Source organism: Homo sapiens, chromosome X (genome assembly GCF_000001405.40).
Source record: "Homo sapiens chromosome X, GRCh38.p14 Primary Assembly".
Classification (NCBI taxonomy): domain Eukaryota; kingdom Metazoa; phylum Chordata; class Mammalia; order Primates; family Hominidae; genus Homo; species Homo sapiens.
Window position 1 is genome coordinate 130,735,606 of NC_000023.11, and position 26,628 is coordinate 130,762,233.

Genomic DNA, 26,628 nt, shown 5'->3' on the forward strand with positions numbered 1-26,628 from the left:
TTTCTAAAAAATTGGAAAAGAATATTAAAAAATACAAGTATGAAAAGTTGTACATACAATAAATGTTTATTATGGCATTGCTATAAGAAGAAAATAAATTATGAATAACCCAACTGTCCAATAACAGAGGATTGGTTAAATACATTAGATGACATATTTATATAATGGAAATCTTTGTAGCCAGTAGGAATGATGATGTAATCTATCTTTACTGACATTGAAAGATGCCAAGATACATTAATAGGTGAAAAAAATCAGGCTACAGAATAGTATGTACAATATGATTCAATTGTTTTTATTAAAAAAATAGATACACTGGCAAAAAAGCCAGAAAATGTATGCGATGAAATGCTGATAGAGGTTCTCTCTGGGTGTTGTGATTGTGAATGATTTTTCACATCTTTCTTCACATTTTTCTTCTAAATTTTTAAGCAGTAGGCACAGTAAAATTATTTTGCTAAAAAATACTACGGGATGGCCAGGTGCAGTGTCTCATGCCTGTAATCCCAACACTTTGGGAGGCCGAGGTGGGCAGATCACCTGAGGTCAGGAGTTTGAGACCAGCCTGGCCAACATAGTGAAACACCGTCTCTACTAAAAATACAAAAATTAGCCAGGCATGGTGACGGGCGCCTGTAATCCCAGCTACTCAGGAGGCTGAGGCAGGAGAGTCGCTTGGGGAGGGGGAGGTTGCAGGGAGCCAAGATTGTGCCACCACACTCCAGCCTGGGTGACAGAGTGAGACTCCATCTCAAAAAAAAAAAATGCTATGGGATTGTGGCTATACAACTTATAAATTACTTTTACTTGAAATTGTAATCCAAATGACCTTCATATTTCCATTCAAACATCTGTTTTTAATTTAGAGAAGAGGATGGCAAACTTTTATGTAACGGGCTATACTAAGTAAGTATTTTAGGCTTTACAGCCCATGTAGTCACTTGTAACTACTCTGCCTTCCCCTTTGCAGTGCTAAAGCAGCCACAGACAATATGACAATTGGTGTAGCTATGTTCTAATAAAATTTTATTTACAAAAACAGGTAGTGGGCTGAATTTTGCCTATAGGTGGTATTTACTGACCCATGCTCTAGGGGGCTAAATAAAGGAGGCCGAAGTCTCAGAATTAAGCTAGTTTTCTCTGTTCTCTTGGGTCAATGTGGGTAATATTAGTTGCTGCTCTCCAGAGTCAAGACCAAAATGGCTTGGAGACATCACTGGAGCGTCTCATTTTTGCTACTTGAGATGATAATTTTCACTCTCTATATTGGGGCCATGCTTTACATAGGGCCACCTTATCCACCAAAGTGAATCCTAGCTCTGCCAAAGATAAAGCTGTTGTGAGAGAAGCCCCCAAGTGACTCAGAAGGGTTGAAGAATTTACAACCAAACTACTGAGTGACCTTAGTTAGAACCAGAAATTTCAAAAGAATCAGTGCTTCCTGTAGCCCATCCGTACTAACATACTCCATAAACCAGTTTTCTGAAGAAGCGAATTATTATAGTGTATCTACAGAAAAGCTTTTAAGGAGTCTTAAAATGTCCAACAACAGCTTAATTTAGGAGTCTGAAAAAGACATACGTAGCTGAGGCAAAATATAATGGGGAAAAAGAAGGATGACTTAGCCAAAGATGGTATGGCACTCCTAGTCACAAAGAGCACCACGATACCCAGAATAGCAGTGGAACAAGGTTAACTATGTGAATTTAGTTCATTCTCTTGTCTTTGCCTTAAGTTACAATCAATGGTGCAGTTTCTTAAAGCAGTTTACTTGACATATATAATCTATAAAGAGTATTTTCCACCTTTTCTCTTCAAAGAAGAGTTACTTATTGCATGCGCGTGCGCACGCACACACACACACACACACACACAACTTACTTCTGAAATGCTTCCAAAATACATAGCTTCCAGATCACCCCAATCCTGCCATCTAGAATATTATTAAATCACATTTAATGTTCTGGCCACTCAAAGATAGTCATCTAAGAAGAGAATGTATTAGGTCCAGGATCCACGGAACCAGAGCCAACTACTTGGGATTTGGGGCTACAGCAGAGCCAGATGTCCCAAATTTCTAACCTGGGAATTTCTGACATACAGCACCCAAAATTTACTGATAGAATCTCAGGACTTGCAGGCAGCCCAGGACACCTGAGGAACAGTCCACAACAAGCCATTCAGAGGAGTAGGGAGTGGGTAAGGCAGTCTAAGGGGGACAAAAGAAAGGGAAGTGGGACAAGATCATCAAGAGAACCAAGAAAGTTCAAAGGATAATGTTTCAAAGGTTCACAAGGGGCTGGAGGATGGAGTCAAGATGCTAGGTGCTATGTGATCTAAGGGCAAAAGAGAGGACCAGAGAAGGAGCACAGACATGCTGTTAGTACTGGGGCTTCTATTTGATAGAGGCAGATTAAGTGATTTGTTCAAGGCCCCCATCAGTTACCTTGAAATGTAAATTCACTCTTTCAGTTTCTACTCTGATGTTATATCCCACCATGCCATCCAGCTGTTCACAAAGCTGGTGTCTTTTCCTGAAGATTTAAACAACTTAGAAATATTGTGTAGTGTGTAGGTGTGAAATAGTTGCTTGACTCCTCTGCGGAGGTGGCAGAAATTTTAAGGTATGGAAACTTACTGTGCTAAAACCTGTAAGTGCCATATTCTGAATTAATAGGGCTGGATCTTTCCAGCTGTTCCTGGCTAGTGGATTAGGCAGCGTTTCCATTTTAGAGAAACAACACTGAAATCACTATAGCTACTTAAAAAATCTCAAATGTATAACTTAAATGAACTGATGTAGAGGAAAGCACAGTGGACAAGAAATATGGAGACTTGGGAAACTTGGCTTCTAGTGTCAGCTCCATCACTAGATATTCTGTGTTATTTTGACTAAGTCACTTCCTCTCTCTGGATGCTAGTTTCCTCACCTGTGATATGAGAGGGTTGGACTTGATAATCTCTAAGGGATCTTTCACTTGTAACATTTGATGATTCTGTAATTCCTGGTGTGTTTTCTCTCCTGACATTTATTCACAAGGGTCATTCTGCCCTCCACACAATTTAAGTTTTTGGCAAATCACAGATGGTCTAAAATAAAATCTCCCCCTTGAAGAGGGGAAAAGAACAGGATGTTTCTGCTGAAATAGCTCATGTCAGGTATGACCTTTCTAATTCAGAGCAGCTCTCTAGTGGTTCATTAACTCACCCCATGGGCAGCACAGCAAGCAAGTACTATCACAAAAGGCCCCAACTGTGCAGCCAAAGAGAGCTGCTCTATTACCTGCTGAAAACAAAGTGGTTTCCTCTTTGTGTCCACATCGGTCAATTTTTAGATCAGGAACATATGCTTCTATCACTGAAGGAATCCTGGCCAACTAATAGAAACCATGTGCCAAGTCTAACACCTGCTTTGAAGACTAAGCTGGAGTCCCTTCTACAGGGAAGTGATGGAATTACTTCGAAATACAGATGGTCCCTGACTTAAGATGGTTCGACTAAAATTTGTTTGACTTTACGATATTGTGAAAGTGATATGCTCAGTGGAAACCATACTTTGAATTTTGAATTTTAATCTTTTCCCGGGCTAGTGATATTGGGTACATTAGTCTCCTGTGACGGTGGGCAGTGGCAGTGAGCTGCAGCTCCCAGTGAGCCACACGATCACGAGGGTAAACAACCAATACTGTATAGGGTACTGTGTTGCCAGATGATTTTGCTTAACTGTGGACTAATATAAGAGTTCTGAGCATGTTTAAGGTAGGCTAGGCTAAGCTATGATATTCGGTGGGTTACATGTATTAAATCTATTTTGACTTACGGTATTTTCAATTTACGATGTGTTTATCGGGCAGTAACCCCATCTTTAAGTTGAGGAACATCTGTAATTGATAAGAGTGGTTCTCTTTTCTAGACAATTAAAAATGGTTAGAAGGTTTAATAGTAATTATAATAGCCCATTTTTGTATAGTGCTTTATATTTTACAACACATGCTGATAAATGTATTTTCTCATTTACATTTTCTTAACAACCCACCGAGGTGAGGAGAATAGGTATTACTATCGCCATCTACCTGATAAGGAAAATAGGGCTCAGAGAAGTTAATGTTTGTCCCAGGTCATAGTAGGTGGCAGCATTGAGAATGGAACTCACACCTTGACTTTGACTTGTCCAGCTAACTCACCAATATATTTCTCCAATTGTCCTGTTATACTTGTGAGAAGTTGTCAGGAATATAGGTTAAAGAACAGATCTTAGTACAGGGTCTAGATGCTACAAAGTAATTTTATGCTTATTTGAAGACTTCTGACATAGGTTTAATTTGTCGGAATGGGATCGGTGGCTAGGAGGGCTCTGAGAAAATACATATAACACAATGAATTCAATTGATCATTATATATCTAGAGTCAAGGCAAATATTTACTGAAAATCTACACAAGTGACCCTATGCAAGTGTTATGAGAACATATTTAAAATATAAAACATGGTTCCTGACCTCACAAAGATTCATAAGTGGCTGGGCGTGGTGGCTCACGCGTGTAATCCCAGCTTTGGGAGGCCGAGGTGGGTGGATCGCCTGAGGCCAGGAGTTTGAAACCAGCCTGGCCAACATGGCATAACCCTGTCTCTATTAAAAATATAAAAAACAGCTGGGCAAGGTGACGCACACCTGTAATCCCAGCTACTCGGGAGGCTGAGGCACAAGAATCACTTGAACCTGGGAGGCGGAGGTTGCTGTGAGCCAAGATATTCTGCCACTGCACTCTAGCCTGGGCACCTGAGTGAGACTCTGTCTCAAAAAAAAAAAAAAATTCACATGCCCTAAATAGTGTATAATGAAGGGTTAAATATGGTAGTCACAACAATAAGTGCTATGGTGGCATGGGAAAGAGAGAAGTCAGTGAGGGAAACATTCATGGAAGAAATGGAATTAAGCATTTAAAGGATGGATAGAATTTAACTGGCGGAGGGGAGGAAGAGGATGATTCTAGACTAAAGAGTGAGTAAAGGGTATGGGAAGAGAACAGCATGAGCTAAACCAAAGGGGCAGGCATACATGAGGTTGCATATCTGTGAGGATACTGATTTGAGTAGAGAGCAGTGGGAGAATGTCAAGTAGAGCCATGATTCACTCTAAGTGCTCAAAGGGCTGTCTGCCTTTCATAACATTCTGTTCACTTATGAATAAAATGCCATTGAAGGAAGACATAACAATGGTTAAGAGCTTGGCCTTTGGAGTCAGACAGACCTGGGTTTGGGTCTCAGGATTACCACTTACTTGCTGTATTATCTTGGGTTAATTAATTAACCTCTTGGGGCTTAGTTTCCTCTTCTGTAAAATGGGCCTGCAATGAAGAGCCTATGATAAAATCCCACCAAGTACTGAGCAAAGTGCTGGCACATGAAAGCACTCATTAAATAGGAAATGTAATAAAGGTGAGCCAATGAATGAAACTTCATTTTTATACATTTGTTAAGTTTTTTCATATGGAAAAACTAAAAAAAAATTTGATCCAACCACTTGCTTTAATTTTTTATTCAAATTCTGATTCAGAAAACCATGATGGCCATAGCTGTGGGATGGAATAGGAGATGATGTTGAACAAGTAAGTTATGGTTTGATGCTGCAGGACCGTCATGGTTAGTCTGAGGAGACTGCCCTGTGGGGAATATATATATGCCTTCTGACTAAGGAGAAGGAACCACGGGAATCAGCTCAAGGGCAGTTAGCAAACTGCTGGCAAAAGTGGCCCAAGGCTGAAAACTGCTCATCCTTATCTCCATCCACTTGACCCTCTGAGCTCCTTTCATTTTCTCCCTCTAAGAAGCATTTCTTAAAGGTATGGTATGCTGGACACACTTCCCTGCCCTCATATACTTTCTGATGGATGGGAAATTAGCATTTTGTTCTGGGTATAATCGCTTTCTAATAAGCAAAGGGTCAGATACACGGAGGAGTAGTCTAAGAAACTTCAGGGAAGGAAAACCCTGGCTTGAGAGAAGTAGAAGGAAATATCAGATGCCAATAACAATAAACAACATAATCCCAGGAAAGAGCAACTGTTACCTGAGCCTGGAAGGTCATGAATGTGGCGCATGCTTTCAAAATAGGAGCCCAGGGACATCGCTGTAATTACCAACCAAAGAGCCTCCCCTTAGTACCAGAAAAACAGATGGATACACTAATTAAAGGGGGAGAGACGGAGAACAATGCAATCTTTGAATGTGAGGGACTGAAGAGAGTCAACCTAGCTCTGTTTCCGATAAAGAAAACTGCCCTGTTAACTCTGGGTAGCTCTAACCAGCCACAGAAACCTATGCCAAATCAAGTGTTTTCAAATAGCATTCAAATATAATTTTCCTTTGTCCAGGGTGGACTGCAGTCTTGCTTTTGAAATAAATGAAGCCTGGGAAGCCACTCTCTATGGCCACATGTACCATTTTTCTTATGTTTAATTCCCCTTTCTTTTTCAGAGGAAGGGGAAACTCAGATTCTAAAAACGACAGCTTGCTGAGCTTGCTGGCTGTCACTGTTTAAAGAATGGCTTATTAAACAGATGATGTACAAGCACTTAAAAAAGTAAGTGCTGACCAGAAAGCCAGTGTAAGAACATGTCTGGTTTGGTACAGATAATTTCCTTTTTTTTTTTTTTTTTTTTTTTTTTTTTGTGAAAGGGCTGCTAGAATGACATCTTTACAGTGAATCTTTCACAACTGCCTTATAAAAAAGATGGAGAAATGTAGATCAGACCAGATAATAACTTAGCTGGATTCCTAACTGGTTGAAGAATTGTACTCAAAGAGTGGTGATGAATGGATTGACAACAATTTGAAGGGAGGTCTCTAATAGTTGCTACAGGGCTCTCTACTTGACCATGTCATGCTCAATATTTTAATGTATGATTTCTGGATAAAGGCATAACAAACTTGCTTGCTATAACTGTAGATAAGACAAAGTTGGAGAGTATTCTTAACTTACTTGGTGATATAATTGGGCTTCCAAAAAAATGGTACCACCCTTTATTGAGTGTATTTAAGGCACTACTGTATATAAACTGTCCCATTGAAATCTTAAAGCCAAATAAACTAGGGTTTAGAGAGGTTTCAAATAGCTTATCCAAAGCTACACAGCTAGTAAGTAGCATTGCCAGGACTTAAACCCAAGTCTGTCTGTTGTCAAAGCCCACACTCTTTCCAATACACTACACTGCTAGCCACTGCTGTACACTGTCTTGACAAACTAGACCAGAATATGCTTTCTCCTGAAAACAAGACAGAACTGAGCAGAGGCTGGAGGCTCTGGGAAACAAGAAAGAATCAAACCACATGGATTCAAGAGAGCTGACTGTAGCTTTCCTGAAGGATTAGAGTAGTGCTAGGGTGACGGTGAAAACCAGCACTTATACTAATAAACTGCTGAGAATATTTGGAGCTAGAAGACAGTGAATATTGCTACTTCCTGGCATTGTTATTATGTCCAGCTTTATTTTTATGAGGGAAAGTGGCTGGAATGATGGGCCCAAAACTACGAAAGCGGAACATAATATAAGAAAAAAAGGTGGGTGACCATAGAAGAATAGAATGGGGGAAATATGACTTCACTATAGTTCATACTAGAAAGAGCTAGGAGATTTAGTCTGCAACTTTAACATGAGCCAACAACATGAAATGCCTTTCAGAAAAGTAGATATACCTCAGGCTGTATTATTAGAAGCACTAAGTGGATTCCAGAGCCTGAGAAGTAATAGACACATTGTCTTCTGCTCTGGCCACCATTCTGTTGTGATGGGCAAATAACAACATTTAACATCACTAGAGGCTTGAAGTAACTGGGGTGAAGTGTTTGGAAACTATTTCCTATGAGGGATTTTTTTTTTTTTTTTGAGAAAGAGTCTCACTCTGTCACCCAGGCAGGGGTACAGTGATGCAATCTTGGCTCATTGCAATCTCTGCATCCTGGGTTCAAGTAATTCTCATGCCTCAGCCTCCCAAGTAACTGGGATTACAGGCATCTGCCACCACACCTGGCTAATTTTTTTTTTTTGGTATTTTTAGTAGAGATGGGATTTCACCATGTTGGCCAGGCTGGTCTTGAACTCCTGACCTCAAGTGATCTGCCTGCCTCGGCCTCCCAAAGTGCTGGGATTACAGGTGTGAGCCACCATGCCCGACCCCTGTGAGGGAAATTTTGAAGTAAATGGAATATTTAGCTTAGAGAGGAGAAAACTTGTGGAAACTGTATTTGAAGGACCATCATGTGGATGAAAAGATTAGACTTGGTCTGATGTGTTTTATATTACAAAGCTAGGACCCAGAAGGCAGCTTATGGTTCAATATAAGAAAGAAATTCCTAACAATAAGAGTGGTCCAACATCGAGTGATAAGGATAATAGGTTATATTTAATGAGTGTTTCCTAAATGCCTAGCACTATGGTCCATTGTTGACATATCATTTCATGGAATCCCCATAAGAACTCTGGAAGGGCCATGGACAGGGGAATGGCTACACTGTAAAGCAGGGATCTTAATGTCACATGGAATATTCAAATACAGGCTAGATTAATAGCTGTCAGGAATGTGTCATATGCAATTGTGTATTGGGATGCTGGTGGTGGTAGGAGAGTTGAATTAGATGGCTCTATGAGTTCCCTGTCTGATATAAGACTCAGTAAATATTCTACTTTATCTGTTTTCAACTTTATAACATTAAATATTACGAGCTGATGGTCCAAAGATAGCATTTTGAACTCTTCGTAAGATTGCTGCTATGTGTCTCTGTTTATACACTCACACACACAGAGAGAGACACATTTATTTATTTTTAAATCATATATATGCCAGGGTTTGAAAAAAGATAAGGATATCATTTAGATATGTGGAAGTTTTGAACAATTTGAAATCCTAACAATTTTTAATTTATTAATTAAACCAATGCAACAACATGAGAAAATAGCATATGCTGCATTTATGATAGGCAGGAATTGAAATATACATCATTTTGTTAAAAATATACAATGAGAAAAATGTAGAAAATGTAAATTTCAAAAAGCTTTCATTTGAATGACTGGATTACAGGATGATTCTCTGGCTCTCTGTGGAGTATAAACATAAGAATTTACAGAGCTGTAACTTCAACTTTCTGTCCATCACTGTGCTAGAATAGGGGTTCCCAACCCCTAGGCTGCAGACTGGTACCGGTCCGTGGCCTGTTAGGAACTGGGCCACACAGCAGGAGGTGAGCAGCAGGTGAGTGAGCATTACAGCCTGAGCTCCGTCTCCTGTCAGAGCAGCAACAACATTAGATTCTCATAGCAGTGCGAACCCTATTGTGAATTGTGCATGTGAAGGATCTAGGGTGTGTGTTCCTTATGAGAATCTAAATAATGCCTGATGATCTGAGGTGGAACAGTTTCATCCCGAGACCATACCCCCCGACTCAGTCTGTGGAAAAATTGTCTTCCACGAAACCGGTCCCTGGTGCCAAAAAGGTTGCGGACGGCTGTGCTAGAAGATTGAAGAGTATTACCACATTTAATCTTTGCAATGACCTTATAAGTTTGGTATGAAGATATTATTTCCATTTTACAGTTGAGAAAACAGAGTCTTAAGATAGAAAAGTTAAACAGCAGTGCCAAGATTCAAACACAGGTATTTCTGCTTCATACTGTCTACTGTGCTAAATCAGTACCCTCCTCTTTTCTTTCCTCTGTTAACGGAAAACATTTTGAAAATATGCTAAAGTATAGCACAAATGATAATGGTTATTATTAATAAACAACTACAATGTCCAATATCCGGATTCATATGATGCTTGTCTTGAAAAAAAAATTTACTTTGTAACAGAAAGCTTGGTCTCTTTAGCACAGATAGGGACACATTTGGAGGATCCTGGTTTGTTCTATAGGCTTGACTTTAGGATCAGAACAATGTGTTTGAAGAGCTATTGGAGAATAAAAAGGCACAGTAAAAAGTGCTCCTCTTCTTTCCACAATCTAGATTCTAAAGTGCTGAGAGCTGAGAAACCAAACAGTACATGTGATACCACCTACTGCTTATTCACTACATGCAGAACCCTGCAATGGCTATTTATGAAGACCCAGAGAAAGAAGACCAACTTCTTTCCATGGGAGAGCTCTCAATGGAAGAGTGCCCTTAATGAAGGTTGTAAAGCAATGCAGTGAATTTCCTGACCAGTCTAAGAACTACTGCTGTATAGATAGTCGTCTTTTTGATGAAGCTTCATGTTCACCCTCCCTTCCCTACTAGTATAAACCATTAAAGTTTAGAAAAAGTCCTGCATTCAACTGATTCTTAAGAATTTAAATAAGGAGAGACAAAAGATGGCACTGAAGTACTAAATACTGCCAGAAAATATTTGGTTGGCTAGCTCCAACTTTAGGCCCTTGGTCGGAATCTATCATTTGTTCTCTGCAGCCTGTGATGAACTATAACCTCTGAATCAAAGAGAGCATACGTTCTCACTTCCAAGAAGCCATCTATGCTGTAAAGAAAAATTGCTACTGTGACAATTCAAGCAACTGGTGAGAAAGGTGAGTGCATTTCCCAGCATACACATTTCTTTTAAGCTTCCCGTTAATGAGCAGCAATGGACTTCCCAGAAGACACTGTACTCACCATTTTTCCCATCCAGACAGGACACTCCAGGAACAATTACAAAATCATGAACTTCAGTCACGTCTGCTGTCTGACATAGCTTCATTTCCCTAGTGGACTAATGTGTACCTGCTTCACTGCCAACACAAGAGTCCTCATAAACTCATAGCTTCATCTTTCCTTATTTTGGGACCTTGCTTTTGGCCTTCTCTTATACTTTAGTTAAGATGCCCTCCTTGTTTTAGCTATTGAGGATAGTAAGATAACAGCTGCAAATTAGTTCTTGGTGTCTATCAGAAGTCAGATTTCTTCTGCCTTAATTAGTACTGCTTTTTAAATATCACTGCTATGATTTCCAACCTGATATGTACCTAGGGTCCCCATTTTCCTCCAACAAGAATTTCCCACTGCCAAAACTCCCTACCACAAAGGAAAGCAGAACAAACAATCAAGCTAGTCTCTAACCACAAATCAATCCCATTTCCAACTAGCTGATGAAAAATGTGAGAGTGACACTAGGGTCTAATCAAGGGAGGATGGGAAGATGATTACATTTTTGTCTGTTATCCTAAGCCCCAAACCAAGCTGGGTGGCTGTGTCTGTGTGTCTGTCTGGCACAGCCAGAACCAGGGCTCCCATGAGGACCTTCTCTCTCCATCATAACAGGACAGCTATGTGCAAGTCAGAGATGAGTAAACGTTTGGAGGCCAGTTAAGAGGCTATTAGAGTATAACATGGGTTGCTGACAGTGAAAATATAAAAGGAGAATTATCTGTGCTTATCTCCTACTCTTAAATATTAACTGGGATATGAAGGAGACTGGTGTCATGGAGTTTTCCTAAGTTGTTTGATGGTGCAAGCTGCTTTTAGGTTTGGGTGGAAGTGTGATTTGAGGCATTTCCCTTGGCCAGGGAGGCAGGGGAGTCAAGCTATGAAAAATATTTGTGAATCATGGTTTAAACAAGTACTCTAAATGAAGCCCTTAAACGTCACATGAGATCTTACATTGTACTCTCCTAAAAGACAGAACACAAGTCTACTAAGTTTTTGTTTTTTTTTTCAACTCACTTAAGACAGCAATTAGCACTTAGCAGAAAGTCTGAATTCCCCCAAACCTATTTATATGAGAAATGGCCTTTTAAATGAAAAGTCTGAATAATAAAAAAAATGGAATCAGTTACTCAGCATAAGACCCTTTCAACACCAAGGGTTTCCACTTATTTTCAGAATTTAATTCTCTTGTTCAACTTTGTAATAATCCATACAGATAAAAGAACCCCAAGTACCTCCTGGTTTCAGCAGAATATTGATCACTACCTCTCTGAATTTGCTTTGGAGTTTCACCCCTTGGTTGACTCCCAGTACTATATACAGATGACCTGTTTTAAGACACAAAGCAGCTCTGAGCTGTGGGCTTCATGCCCCTGAAGCAGGGTTTTCAAAGAGCTTCTCTGCTGAGCAAGCTCTTTCCACAGTGCAATTAGGCTCAGCCAGAGGACAAACAGTTCCTCATCCTATGTGTCTTCCATTAATAAAGATTTGCAGCAATGTGTACCAGACTTGGAGCATTACTCAGATCTACCAAGTCCCCAGTTTGGGGAAGTGGCTCTGATTGATTTTGGAGTCTCTGGTGTCTTTGGACAGATGTATTCATTCAACATGTGGAGGCCTGCGGGCAATTCAGATTTTAGCTGAGGCTGTAGCCACCATTAAAACAGGACTGCAGATAATAGCAAAGATTACAAGCAAATGTAGAGTTACATAGTTAGAGGAAAATACTCATTAGGCTCTTGTTTTCCCCAAAGTTGTGAAAATTCAGAATAAAAACAACAAAGGGCACAGAAGGTTGGTGTGGCAAAGTCAGAGTACATATTAAGTACACTGCAACACATTCAGTACATCCTGATTTTCAAAGAGAACTGAACCAGGAATCAAGAAGCCATAACTCTGTCATGTCACTTCATTTTGAGTTAATAAGAGCTAACATATTAAGCACCTATTTATTATGTGCTAGATACTGTGGGAAGTATATTACTCCTTACTTACATTGTCTCATTTATTTCTTCACAACCACTGTAGGAGTCTTATTACCTTCCCCACTACACAGAAAGCAAAGAGAAGTGAAACACTTCCTGAAGTAATACAGGTTACACAGAGCTTAGGTCAGTTTGATGCTTAAGCCTGTGTTCTTAACCTCTTTCTATCACTGCCTGTCTTCTACATTAAGCTCCCTACTTAGTAGTCTACTCTTTTTACTAAATTATATTGACTCCCCTCTTTAATTTCTTCACTTACTAGACTATTACAAAGTTGAACAAGAGAATTAAATTCTGAAAATAAGTTGAAACCCTTGGTATTGAAAGAGCCTTAAGCTAAATAATTGATTCCATTGGGGGACATTTGGATGGGATGATCCTAGAACCACCTTAATTCTAAAAATACAGTAATTTCATAAAGAGTGAGGAAAAAAGCTATTTTTTCTAGGTGATTGTGGATATAGTTCCAGTAGACACATTCCAACTTGGATCTTAAACCCTAGGCTGAGTGACTTTTTCTCCTGCGAATGTTAGTTGCTTGATGCCCTGGAGTACTGAACTTCCTATTCACCTCTCTATGATGGTGGAATGACCTCTATGAAGCAGGCTGGGGAATTTTCTAAGAAACCAGGTCACTGCTGCTGTCTTAGCAAAGCACAAACAGTGTAGACCTATTCTCATTCTCTAGTTCCCATGGTTCTAGGAGGTAGGCTGAGCCTGGTCCTCAGCATTTAATTCACTTTGCATAGCTTTCTTCTTCAGGGCAGGAGCTGGGCTAAGATCATCTTAGAGTCTGGCACAACAAAAAGGCCACCTATGGAGTCTACTTTCTTATTTATTTGCATATTTTCATACAGTTGGGGCAGCAAATATTAGATGCCCATCATAATTAAGAAAAAGCCCAAAGTCCCTTGAAGACATTTAAAGTGAAATGCCTACAGGAAGAAGAGAGGTTTCCTCTAGATTTTTTATTTTAAAAAATGAAAATAATGTTAAACTTCTTGGCACTGCGGCTGAATATTAAGTAGAAACATCTTAGGGAAACTTGCCTGAGAGCTATATGAATTCTAAACTATGAAAACAAGACACTCAGTAGAAAACTGTAAAGGAGAAAAGCGGTCAGTTTGCTTTATCAAAGAAACAAAGCATTTTCCTCCAGGGAGAAAGGAAGCATGATGGGAAATCTGCAAACAATGGACTTCTGGAAGGTTTCATGTGTTTGCTTAAAAACCAAAATAACAACAACCCAAACTCCACAGTACTGACAGGGGACAAGTGTTCTACCTAATAGCACATGGGCCATGGGATATTTCCAAAAAGCAATGATGTTCAGACTCAGTCCCCTTGCGAGCATGATTTGAATAATTTTTGCCAGACACCACCTTCCCCCAAGTCTCTACCATGATCTAGGGACAATGCTAAAATTTCTCCCTGTTGTCACTCATCTAAGGCTCAAAAGGAAGAGCATTTGTAGTAGTGATGGTGGGGCCTTTGACGGTAAGAGTGAGAGGGCACCTCTCCATTTATTTTGCAATTTGTCTCTCTGCTTGCATTTTTGTCTATGTCATAGCACATCTGTTTTTCTGTCTATTTTTCTTTCTGTTTCTCTGTCCGTCTCTCAGTCCATCCATCAATTCCTCTCTGCCTGTGTCTCCTTGTCTGTTTTGACACTCTCTCTGTCTTCCTGCTTCTTGTCACTGTATGGTTCTCTCTCTCAGGTTCTGTCTCTTTGTTGCTCTTTGTCTGTTGCTCAGTCAGTGTCTTTCTTTCTTCTCTCTCTCTGTTGCTCCCTTCCTCCCTCTGCCTGTCTGCATCTCACTCTGTCTGTCTATCTGTCTCTGACCAACGGCTTCTGACAATCTATTTACTTTTCTCTCATTGTTTAAATATCCCTGTTTAAGTGTCCCTGTCTAGTTTTCAGTCTGTCTGTCTTTTGGTTGGTCTGCCTGGTGCTCTATGTCTGCCTTCCTGTCTCTGTCAGTATCTCTGCCTCTCTGTGCCTCTTTGTTCATTTCTTTGTCTCAGTATCTCTGTTAATACTTTGTCTCTTTTGTCTTTCTGTCAGTCTCTGTATGTGTCTCTTTTTGTTTCTCTGTCTCTGTGTTACCCATCTGTCTGTCTGTACTCTGGTTATCTGTCCAATCTGTCTGCCTGTTTCTCCACCAGCCTGTCTGTCCACTTGTTTCTCTGGGTGTCTGCATGTATTTATCTCAGTCTTTACTTCTATCTCTTTGTCTAGCTGACTATCTTTCTCTATAATTTTTTTCTCTCACCCTCTTCCTCTCTCTCGGGCTGTCAGCCTTGCTGTGATCCTCTCAGTTTCTCTGTTTCTTGTCTTTTGGCCTATAACACATGGTATCTGTCCAACTCTTTCAGTCTCCCATCTCGGTCAGTCTCTTTGTCTTGGTTTGTCTGTTGCTCTCTCTTCCCAAGTCTGTCTTTCTGTCTCACAGCCTACGTTTTTCTCTTGTCAATCTGTCTTCCCATTCTTCTCTGTTGGTTTTCATTTCTCTTTCCCTCTGTATCTGTCTTTCTCTGCCTGTCTGCTGCTCTGTGCTTCTTGCCACATTAGTCCCTCTCTCTGTATCTACCTGTTCTGTCTCTTTGTCTCCCTGTCTTTTGACTCTATTCGTACCTCTCTGTTTCTATCCATATCTCTCTCATTCTATAATAAGTGTCCCTCTCTCTGCCTGCCTACCTGTCTGGGTATCTGTCTGTCTGTGTTTATTCTTTCCTTTAGTAGTTTGGCTGGCTGGCTCACTGTCTCTCAGGCTGTTTTCCTCTCTCTCTTTCTGTCACAATGTCACCATTTTAAAGTGAACAATTCAGTGGAATTAAGTACATTCACACTGTGCATGCAAGCACTACTTTTATCTAGTCCCTGTCCCCAAATATTCTCATCACTCCAAAAGAAAAGCCTGTACTCATTAAACAGTTGTCCTCCCTTCCTCCCTTCCCCTAGCCACCGGCAACCACCAATCTACTTTCTGTCTCCATGGATTTACCTATTATAGACATTTCAGAGAAAAGGAATCATACAACATGTGACATTATGTGTCCAGCTTCTTTCTCTCAGAATAATGTTTTCTAGGTTTATCTCCCTTGTAGCATGTATAATTATTTCATTACTTTTTATGGTTGAATAATATTCTACCGTATGGATATATCACTATTTGTTTATTCATTCATCCATTGATGGACATTAGGTTTGTTTCCACCTTTTTGGCTATCATGAATATAGCTGCTATGAACATATGCAGCTATATATGCATGCATACATGCTTGTCTGAGTACCTGTTTTCTATCCTTTTGGATATACCCAGCAGTGAAATTGCTGGTTCATATGGTAATTCTATGTTTTACTTTTTGAGGAACCACCAAAGTGTTTTCTAAGTGGCTGAACCATTTTATACTCCTACCAGAAATTTAGAAGGGTGCCAATTTCTCCACATTCTTGAAAACAGTTGATATTTTCTGTCTTTTAGATTCTAGCCATCTTAATGGATACAAAGTGGTATTTAATTATGGTTTTGATTTGCATTTCCCTAATGACTAGTAATGTTGAACATCTTTTCATGTGCTTATTGGCCATTTGCATATATCTTCTTTGGAGAAATGTCTATTTGAGTCCTTAGCCTATGTTTTGATTGAGTTGTTTGTCTTTTTGTTGTTGAGTTGTAAGAGTCCTTTATATGTCCTGGATACTATACCCTTACCAGATATATGGTTTGCAAATATTTTCTCCCAGTATGTTTTCTCTCATTTTCTCTATGTCTTTCTGATAGATTGAATCTATTACACTGCCTCTTTCTGACTACTTCTCTGTTGGTGTCTTTGTATCAATATGTCCCGGACATGACTCTATAAGGCTCTACCTGTTCCTTCTTTCTTCATCTCCCTCCTTAACCTTTCTTTTTTAGTCTGTCTCTTTCCTTCCTTCCCTCCCTCCCCATCTGTTTCCTCTATTTCCCTGCATGTGACTCCCTCTTTTTCTCACTATTTCTCCCTGCCCTCATTCATCTCTCAGTTTGTCTCTCTGTCCATTTAGTTGGCTCTCTATCTCTCTACTTTCTGTCTTGCTCTCTGTGTCTTTCTGATTCTCCCTTTATTGGTTAGTCTATCAGTTGCTTTGTTTATCACCCTATCTCTCTCCCCCAGACTCTCTTGGGTCTCTCTCTCTCTCCATCTGCATCTCTCTCTGTATTGCCTTTTCTCCTATGCCTCATGGCCCTCCCTTTCTGTCTCTCTAAGTGTCTTGTCTCAGTGTGTCTCTCAATCACTGTCTCAGTGTCTCTCTCCGGTTCTACCTGATTCTCCTGACACTTTTTCTGTGTCTACCTATCTCTCTGCAACAGTTTCTTTTTGCCTCTTTCTGTTTCTCTCTCTCCTTGCCTATTTCTCTCGTCTTCCTGTTTTTCTGCCTGTCTGTCTCTTAGTCTATCAGGCTTTCTTTCCATTTGTCTATCTCCTCATCTCTTTCTTTCTCTTTCCTTTGCCTCTCCCATATAGCTCCATCTGGCCAACTCTCTCTGTCTGAGTGACTTTCACTGACTCTCTTTCTCTCGCTATCTCACTGTCTTTTCTATCTTGCTGTCTCTTGTGGTCTCTGCTTCTCTCTATGATGATCTGTCTCTGGCTCTGTATGTATCTCCCTCACTTCTTTCTCTGTCCCTTGCTCCTTCTGTGTGTTCTCTCTGCTTTGTCTCTGTCTCTGTCTTCCTGTATCACATTCTAACTCTTCATCTCTCTGCAATACCCGCAACACCCCACTTCTCTGTCTATCTCTCAGGGTTTGTCTGTCCATGTGAGTGTTATTTGCTTCTTTTCTCTTTCTGCCAATTTTACTCTCTCTCTTTTCTTCTTGACTTTCTTTCTCACTCAGTTTCTCTCTCCTTCTGTCTCTCTTTAGTTCTTTAGCTTTCTCTGCTTCTGGGTCTTTCTCTCTCTACCCTGTTTTCTCTCTCTCTTTGTGACCTCCCCATTCTATCTCTTCTGTTTCAGTGTGTCCCCATATCTCTCTCCTTGTTCCTCACTGCTGTCTCTGTTCCTCCTTTTCTCCATCTTTTTCTGTTTGCCAGTCTGCCTTCCTTTCCACCTGTCTGCTTCTCTTTGTCTGTCCATCTCTCTTTGTATGCTTCCATCTCTCTATATTAACCAGTTGATCTCTATACCTTTATCTATCCATGTTTGCCTCTGCCTTTCTGTTTTTCCATCTGACTGGCTCTGTCTCTCCTTCTTGGTCTATCCTTCCCTGTCTGTCTATCCCTGCCTTTATCCACCTCTGTCCATTCCTATCTTTATATTCGCCTGTCTATCTCCCTCTGGCCATTTGTCTGTCTGTCTCTGCTCTTCTTTGAAAGCATGTGGTATTTATCTTTCCATGCCTGACTTTTATTTCCAGGCTGATCCATTTTGCTGCCAAAGACATGATTCCATTCTTTTTTATGGCTGAATAGTATTCCATTGTGTATATATGCCACATTTTCTTTATCCATTCATCTATTGATACACGGTTAGTTTGGTTCTATATCTTAGCTATTGTGAATAGTGTTGCAATGAACATGGTGGTGCAGGCAACTCTTTGATATACTGATTTCTTTTTCCTTGGATAAATACCCAGTAGAAGGACTGCTGGATCATATGGAAAGGGGTGGGGAGCATGGGGAGAGGTTGGTTAATGAATATGAAATTATAGCTAGATAGGAGGAATGAGTTCTGGTGTTCTTCAGCAATGTAGGATGAATATGGTTAAATATACTTATTATGTATTTTCAAAAAGCTAGAAAAGAACATTTTTGAATATTATTAACACAAATAATAAATGTTTGAGGTGATGAGTATGCTAATTACTCTGCTTAGATCATTACACATTGCATACATGGCTCAAAATATCAATCTGCATCCTATAAATATGTACAATTATTATGTGTCAACTAAAAATAAAAGGAAAAATATGGAAAAAGACAAAAAAGAAGCTGAAGTATAAAATTTCTTTCCAACCTGTGCCAGTTGAACACATGAATCTCAGAGAATGGACTTATAGTCTTTGGCTTGCGAAAAATGCATGGATTGTACTGACTTACGAAAAATAAGTCTAACATGTCTACCTAGTACTTGAAAAACACAAGTATACACCAACTTTGGTATCTTTCAAACACTGTCACTTAGTTGTCCACTAGTGAAAAACACAACAAAAATCTATGTGCTCAGCAAAGACATAGAATCAACCCAGGTACCTATCAATGGTGGATTGGATAAAGAAAATGTGGTACATATACACTGTGGAATACTATGCAGCCATAAAAAAGAACAAAATAATATATTTTGCAGCAACATGGATGCAGCTGGAGGCCATTATCCTAAGACAATTAATGCAGAAATAGAAAACCAAATACTGCATTTTCTCACTTATAAGTGAGAGCTAAACATTGGGTACACATGGACACAAAGATGAGAACAATCAACACGGGGGATTACAAAAGGGGGAGGGGAGAGAGGAAGGGAAGCAAGGGTTGAAAAACTACCTGTTGGGTACCATGTTCATTACTTGGGTAACAGGATCATTAGAGGCCCAAACCTCTGCATCATGCAGAATACTCATGTAACAAACCTGTACCTGTACCCTTGAATCTAACATTTTAAAAAACTACATGCTCAGAGCATGTCTTGTAAACCTTTCATTTGGCTTATATTTTAAGTAAGCTTCCAGAACTCAAGAAATTTGAGAAACTAGGAGTTAAGGGACAGACTGCATCACATAAAATATAGAGTCTGAACAGATTGTTTTTGAAAATTACATCACCACTGAAACATACAGTGATCCAGAATTCTGCAGACTAAATTACATCAGCACAATCACTTGATTTTAGTCTAACAATCTAGTTTGGTAATCCTATGATGTAAGCCCTAATAATAAGGAAATCATTGAGGCATTATGGAACAATGTCATTAAACCTCTCTGTGTCTCAGTTTCCTCATCTATAAAATGAGGCTAATGACAGTAAATGACCTTATAAGGTTGTTATCAGAAGTAAAGGGGATAATCCATGTATAGTTCTTAGAACAGTGCCTGGTGCAGTAGGAGCTCAAAAGAAAATGTTAGCTGTTATTTTTTCTATTGTTGTTGTTGCAATTCTTATCACTGTTATTATCATATAAACATCTAAATAGCACTGGAATCAGGAGAGCTATGTGACTTTGGTAAAGTCTGCTCTCTGGGAAGTTTCCTTAACTAAAAAATGAAGATGTACCTCTAAAATTTTTATGGTTCTATGGTCCTAGGATTCCATGTGTTTCTGAGTACTAAGCACATGGGGTCACATGTTTTTTTAATTTTTAATTTTCATGGGTACATAGTAGGTATATTTATTTATAGGGTACATGAGACATTTGGATATAGGGATGCAATGCATAATAATCACATCATGAAAAATGGGGTATCCATCCCCTCAGGCACTTATCCTCTGTGTTACAAGCAACCAAACCACACCCTTTTAGTAATTTTTAAATGTACAATTAAATTATTTTGACTATAGTCACCCTGTTGTACTATCAAATACTAGGTCTTATTCATTCTTTCTATTTTTTTGTACCCATTAATCCTCCCCTCCACCCCACCACCACTACCCTTCCCAGCCTCTGGTAACCATCCGTCTACTCACTATCTTCATGAGCATGAGTTCAATTGTTTTGATTTTTACATCATGGGGTCACATTTTTTTATCAGGCTCCATGATGTAATTTTTATCCTCAAAAGTTGTCAGACCTATGTTACAAAGGAACAAAAAAGCCACAAGGAAAATCTGTTTTTCAAACATTTCTAAAGCTAACCTGACATCTGCAAACCTCTGCTTTCTCACTGACTTATTTAGCTCTTACGGGATCCCACAACAAAAAGCATAAATTCAGGAATGACATCCATTCTTTCTCCAATGATGCCCATATCAGACAGTTGGCGTAGGTAACATTTCCACAGATGTGGACTTCACCCTTGAGAGCTAGAGTGCCATATTTTTAAAAGAGGATATTGTACTTTGCTTCAAATTGCTGCCTGCGGATGTTGTACCCTTCCTGGGAAGGCTATTTATGGCTATTGTATGTTTTTTGTGAAGACTGTCTAGGATGTCATAGCTTTCCTGGAAATAGTCTTTGCATGTTATATCTTGCCTCAGAATGGACGTTGCTTCTTTCTTGGAAATGCTGCTCATGGATGTTATCGTCCCTGGGATGCTGTCTGTGGTTGCTGTAACTGGCCTCTGAATACTACCTGTGGATAGTGTACTTGACTTTTGATATTCACTGTGGCTAATTTATCTTCTGACCCGAGGGGCCCTCCACTGAAGCTGCTTCTCCAGTGCAGTTTCTGAGGGAGAACTAAGAATATGTTTCTGGTACTTGTGGGTTTGTAACTTGATTCATTAACATTTTCTCCAGACTGAATGGATCTCATGCCCTAAACTGTGTTCAATAAATATAATCTCTTGCCATACTCTGCCCGTTTTCTGGATGGATAAGCTGCAGGTGGGAAGCTATTGGGAAAGAGGAAGAATACTAATTGGTAAATTGACTTTGGGTCTTGGACAACAGCTTGTAGTACAAAAACTCTAACTTATTAGCTAAACTAGGCAATTGGCAATAGTTGCCTCTGAAAAAGATGAAAACTGGAAGCACAAAGCATATTCATTCAGGCAATAATGTACCCTGTACTGTGGTAAATGAATCTTCACCTTTGTAAGCACAGTGCTACATAATTGTTCAGAATATTTCCTGTGACTAAAGCATAAAATTTTCATACGTCCCATAAGAATTCTCAAATCTTAATTACTCACTCTTCTATTTTCTTCATCTTCAATATTTTCCTTAGGATGAGGATGTCAAATTCCCTGTGGGAATGTGGCAACATATATTTATCACTAAAACCTATCTTGTCTCTGCTCCCCTAATCCTGCCAGCATTAGCATACCTGTGCTCATTCATACACATGCTCGTTCCCTTACAAATTCATGTCTCCCACTCCCATAGACATGCACAATGCATTTTGTCCAAGCTGTACTGGTGAAAGAATAAGGTCATGTAGCTAAGGAATATTGATCTTGAGGGGCAGATTCATAGAATTTACACAATGTAGCTCCAAGAAAGATCCTGATTAGTTCCTGCACCTTCACATTCTCTGCAAAAAGGCATGACAGGCAGCAGAAAATAACCTTTTGTGGTTAAAATCTTTGTGCTTTAAGATGACCAGGGAGGAAAGAGGTATGATGGGGAAGAGGTCATCAATTCAAAAATGGCCCTTCCCAGTTCTTATGTTTCAATTCTTTTACCACTGCTTTTCAGAATGGGGATTTAGCTGTACTTAAGTGTCCTGTCCCTTAGGTGGTCATTCACTTGTCTTAATATTTTCTTTTTAATTATACTTTTAATTAGAAATAATTATAGATTCATCTGCAGGCATAAAAAATAATACAGAGAGATACTACGCATTCTTTTTTTTTTTGTAAGACAGGGTCTCACTCGGTTGCCCAAGCTGGATTGCAGTGGCACAATCACAGCTCACTGCAGCCTCGACCTCCCAGGCTTAAGCAGTCTTCTTAGCTCAGCCTCTCCTGTAGGTGGGACCACAGGCACACACCACCACCCCTGGCTAATTTTTATTTTGTTTACTTTCTGTAGACATGAGGTCTTGCTATGTTGCCCAAGCTGGTCTCAAACTCCTGGTTTCCTTGTCTATAAAATGAGGCTTATGACAATAAATGACTTTATACAGTTGTTATGAGAAGTAAAGCAGTCCTCTTGTCTTGGCCTCCCAAAGTGCTGGGATTATAGGCAAGGCATGAGTCACCTGCTCAGCCAATACTATACATTCTTTACCCATTTTCTCCCAATGGTAGCATCTTGCAAAATTACAGTTCAATATTACAACCAAGATATTGACATTGGTGTGGTCAAGACACAGAACATTTCCATCACCACAAGGATCTCTCATGTTGCCCAACTTTTATAGTCATAACTACTTCTCTCTCCCACATACTATCTTCTTAACCCCTGACAACCACCAGTCTGTTCTCCATTTCTATAATTTTGTCATTTCAAGAATGTTATATAAATGGAATCATACAGCATGTAACCTTTCAGGCTTGGCTTTTCACTCAGCATAATTCTCTGGAAATTCATCGATGTTGTTGCATGTGTTGACACTTTGATCTTCATTATACTTAATTAGTATTTCAAGGTACAAATATACCACAATTTAACTACTCACCCATTGAAGGACATCTGGGTTGTTCGTACTTTTTGGCTATTATAAATAAAAAGCTATAAACATTCATGTATGAAGTCTTCATTTCTTTGGGATCAATGTGCAAGAGTTCTTAGGCATTTTAAGAAACAGCCAAACTTTCTCCCCATGGCTATACCATTTTACATTCCCATCAGAAATGTATGAGTGATCTAGTTTCTCTGAATCCTGGCCAGAATTTGGTGCTGTCATTATTTTTTGTTTTAGCCATTCTGAAAGGTGATATCTCATTGTGACTTTAATTTTCATTTCCTTAATGGTTCATGATATTGACCATCTTTTAAAACACTTATTTGCCGCCTGCATATACTTTACATGAAATGTCTGTTCATGTCTTTTTTCAATTTTCTAATTGAATTATTTATTTTTTTTACCGTTGAATTTGAGAGTTCTTTATATATCCTAGATACTAATTCTTTGTTGGATATGTGGTTTACAAATGTTTTCTCCCATTCTGTTTATCCTCCTAACACGGTCTTTCCCAGAATAAAAATGTAATTTTGATAAAGTCTAATTTATCAATTTTTTTCTTTTATGGACTGTGTTTTTGGTGTCAAGTTTAAGAATTATTTGTCTAACCTTAGGTCCTGAAAATTTTCTTCTATTTTTTTCTCTAAAAGTTTTATAATTTTATATTTTAAATGTAAGTCCATGATCCATTTTGAGTATATTTTTACAGGAGTAAGGTTTAGATTGAGGTTCATTAATTTTACCCATGGATGTCCAATTTCTCCAGTATCACTGAAAAGGTCAGATGCCCTCCACTGAATTGTTTTTGCACATTTGAAAAATTAATTTTGGGAGGCCGAGGCGGTTGGACCAGCTGAGGTCAGGAGTTTGAGACCAGCCTGGCCAACATGGTGAAACCCCGACTCTACTAAAAATACAAAAATTAGCCAGGTGTAGTGGCGTGTGCCTGCAATCCCAGCTACCCAGGAGGCTGGGGCAGGAGAATTGCTGGAACCAGCAATGAGCCCAGATAGCGACACTGCACTCCAGCCTGGGTGACAGAGCGAGACTATGTACCAAAAAAAAAAAAAAAAAAAAAAAAAAAGTCAGTTGGGTGCATTTATGTGGGTAGTTTTCTCTGTTCTCTATTCTGTTCCATTGATCTGTATCTGTCCACAAGCACCACACAGTCTTGATTACTGTAGCTATATAGCAAAATTTAATATTGTGTAGACTGATTCTTCCCACTTTATTTTTATTTTTTTTTTGAGATTGATTTAGCTCTTATAGGACTTGTGCCTTTCTACATAAATGTTAGGATAATCTTGCCTTTATTTCAGAAATACCTTGCTAAAATTTTGATAGAGATTGCATTGAATCTAAAGATTGATGTCATGAGTACCGACATATTTACTATATTGTGATTTCTACATGAACATAATGTGTTACTCCATTCATTTAGGTTTTATTTGATTTCTTTCATTAGTGTTTTGTGATTTTCAGTATACAGCTCCTGTACACATTTCAGTAAATTTATATTTAATTATTTCATTTTATTTGGATTACTTCAAATGGTATTGTCTTTTGAATTTCAGTGTCCGTGTGTTCATTTCTAATATAGATAAATACAATTGATTTTTGTATGCTTATCATGTATCCTGCAACCTTAATGGACTCACTTATTAGTTCTAGGAGCTTTTTTGTTTCTTTATTCCTTTTGTAGATTTCTTGGGATTTTCTATGCAGGTGATGTCATCTGCAAATAAGGACATTTTCACTTTTCTGATCTGTAAGCCTTTTATTTCATCTTCCCTCATTTTTCTGATCTGTAAGCCTTTTATTTCTTCTTCCCACCTTATTTCATTGGCTAAAACTAACAACATTATGTTGAATAAGAGTGTATATCCTTGCCTTGTTTCTGATCTTAGGGGAAAAGCAATTCAGTTTTTCACAGGTACATACAATGTTAGCTGTAGGTGCTTTGTGAATTCTCTATCAAATTGAGGAAGTGGCTGGACACGGTGAGGAAGTGGCTCCCAGCACTTTAGGAGGCTGAGGCAGGTGGATCACGAGGTCAGGAGTTCGAGACCATCCTGGCCAATATGGTGAAACCTTGTCTCTACTAAAAATACAAAAATTAGCCAGGCGTGGTGGTGGGTGCCTGTAGTCCCAGCTACTCGGGAGCCTGAGGTGGAAGAATAGCTTGAACCTGGGAGGTGGAGGTTGCAGTGAGCTGAGATCATGCCACTGCACTCCAGCCTGGGTGACAGAGCAAGACTCCATCTCAAAAAAAAAAAAAAAAAAAAAAAAAAAAAAAAAAAAGAGGAAGTTAGCCTCCACTCCTATTTCTGAGAGGTTTTTTTTTTTTTTAAATCATGGATGATGTTTAAGTTTTTCAAATTCTTTTTCTGCATTGTTTGACAAAATTATGTGATTTTTAATCTGTAGCCTGTGAATATGGTAGATTACATTGATTGATTTTCAAATACTGAACCACCCTTGTAGCCCTGGAATAAACCCTACTTTGCCATGCTGTGTAATTCTTTCAATATATTCCTGAATTTGGCTTACTAATAGTTTGTTAAGGATTTTTACGTCTGTATTCATGAAGAATACTGGTCTGCACTTTTCACTTTGGGCTGCTTTTATCTCATTTTTAGTATTTGTGTAATATTAGTCTCATAGAATCAATTGGAACTTGTTCTCTCCTCTTCTATTTCCTGGAAGAGATTTTATAGAATTTGTGGTAATTCTTCTTTATAAGTTTGGTAGTATTCTCCAGTGAAACCATCTCGCCCCAGAGATTTGATTTTGGGAGATTTTAAATGATGAATTCAACTTTCTTAATAGTTATATGGCTATTCAAATTATCCATTTAAACTTGGATGAATTGTGGTAGTTTATATTTCTCGAGGAAGTGGTTCATTTCATGTATGTTGTCAAATTTATGTAGGTAGAATTGTTCATAGTAGTCCCTTAGTATCTGTGTTAAGTCATTCTTGTATTGCTATAAATAAATAGCTCAGACTGGTAATTTATAAAGGAAAGAAGTTTAATTGACTCATCGTACTGCAAACTTTACAGAAAGCATGGTGCTGGCATCTGCTTTGCCTCTGGGGAGGCCTTAGTGAGCTTTTACTCATGGACAAAGGCAAAATGGGGGACAGGCATGTCACATGGTGAAAGCAGGTACAAGCAAAGGGCTGGGGCAGGGGGAGGTGCCACACACTTTAAAATGGTCAGATCTCCTAAGAACTCACCATCATGAGGACAGCACTAAGTCATTCATGAGGGTTCTGCCCCCATGACCCAATCACCTCCCACCAGGCCCCACCTCCAACACTGGGGATTACATTTCAACACAAGATTTGAGTGGGGACAAATATACAAACTATATCATTATTGATAGTTTGTACTGATAGCCTCTGTTTCATTTCTCATATTGGTACTGTACGTCTTTTTTTCTCTGTCAGTCTTGCTAAAGGACTGTCAATTTTATTGATATTTTTCAAAGATTCAGTTACTTGTTTCTTTGTTTTCTGTTTTCAATTTCATTGATTTCTCTTCTTATCTTTAGTATTTCTTCCTCCGTCTTGATTTTAGTTTATTTTGTTCTTATTTCTCTAAACTTTTAAGGTGGGAACTTAGATTAATTCATTTGAGACTTTGCTTCTTTTCTAATGTATATATTTGCAACTATAAATTTCCTCCTCAGCACTACTTTAGCTGCTTCC

General features: G+C 39.0%; 1 protein-coding gene across 17 annotated transcripts in view, besides 1 other annotated feature; it reads right to left on the reverse strand.

The window, feature by feature from the left end:
- ENOX2 (ecto-NOX disulfide-thiol exchanger 2) overlaps window positions 1–26,628 on the reverse strand; it is a 280,885-nt gene that overhangs the window by 113,281 nt on the left and 140,976 nt on the right. The window lies entirely within an intron of this gene.
- Window positions 2,843–3,597: an enhancer, noted in NCBI's record as "OCT4-NANOG hESC enhancer chrX:129872422-129873176 (GRCh37/hg19 assembly coordinates)". NCBI's record gives its function as "activates a minimal SCP1, AML or CMV promoter by ChIP-STARR-seq in naive and primed H9 embryonic stem cells {active_cell/tissue: H9 hESC(naive and primed)}" and the evidence as "EXISTENCE:reporter gene assay evidence [ECO:0000049][PMID:30033119]".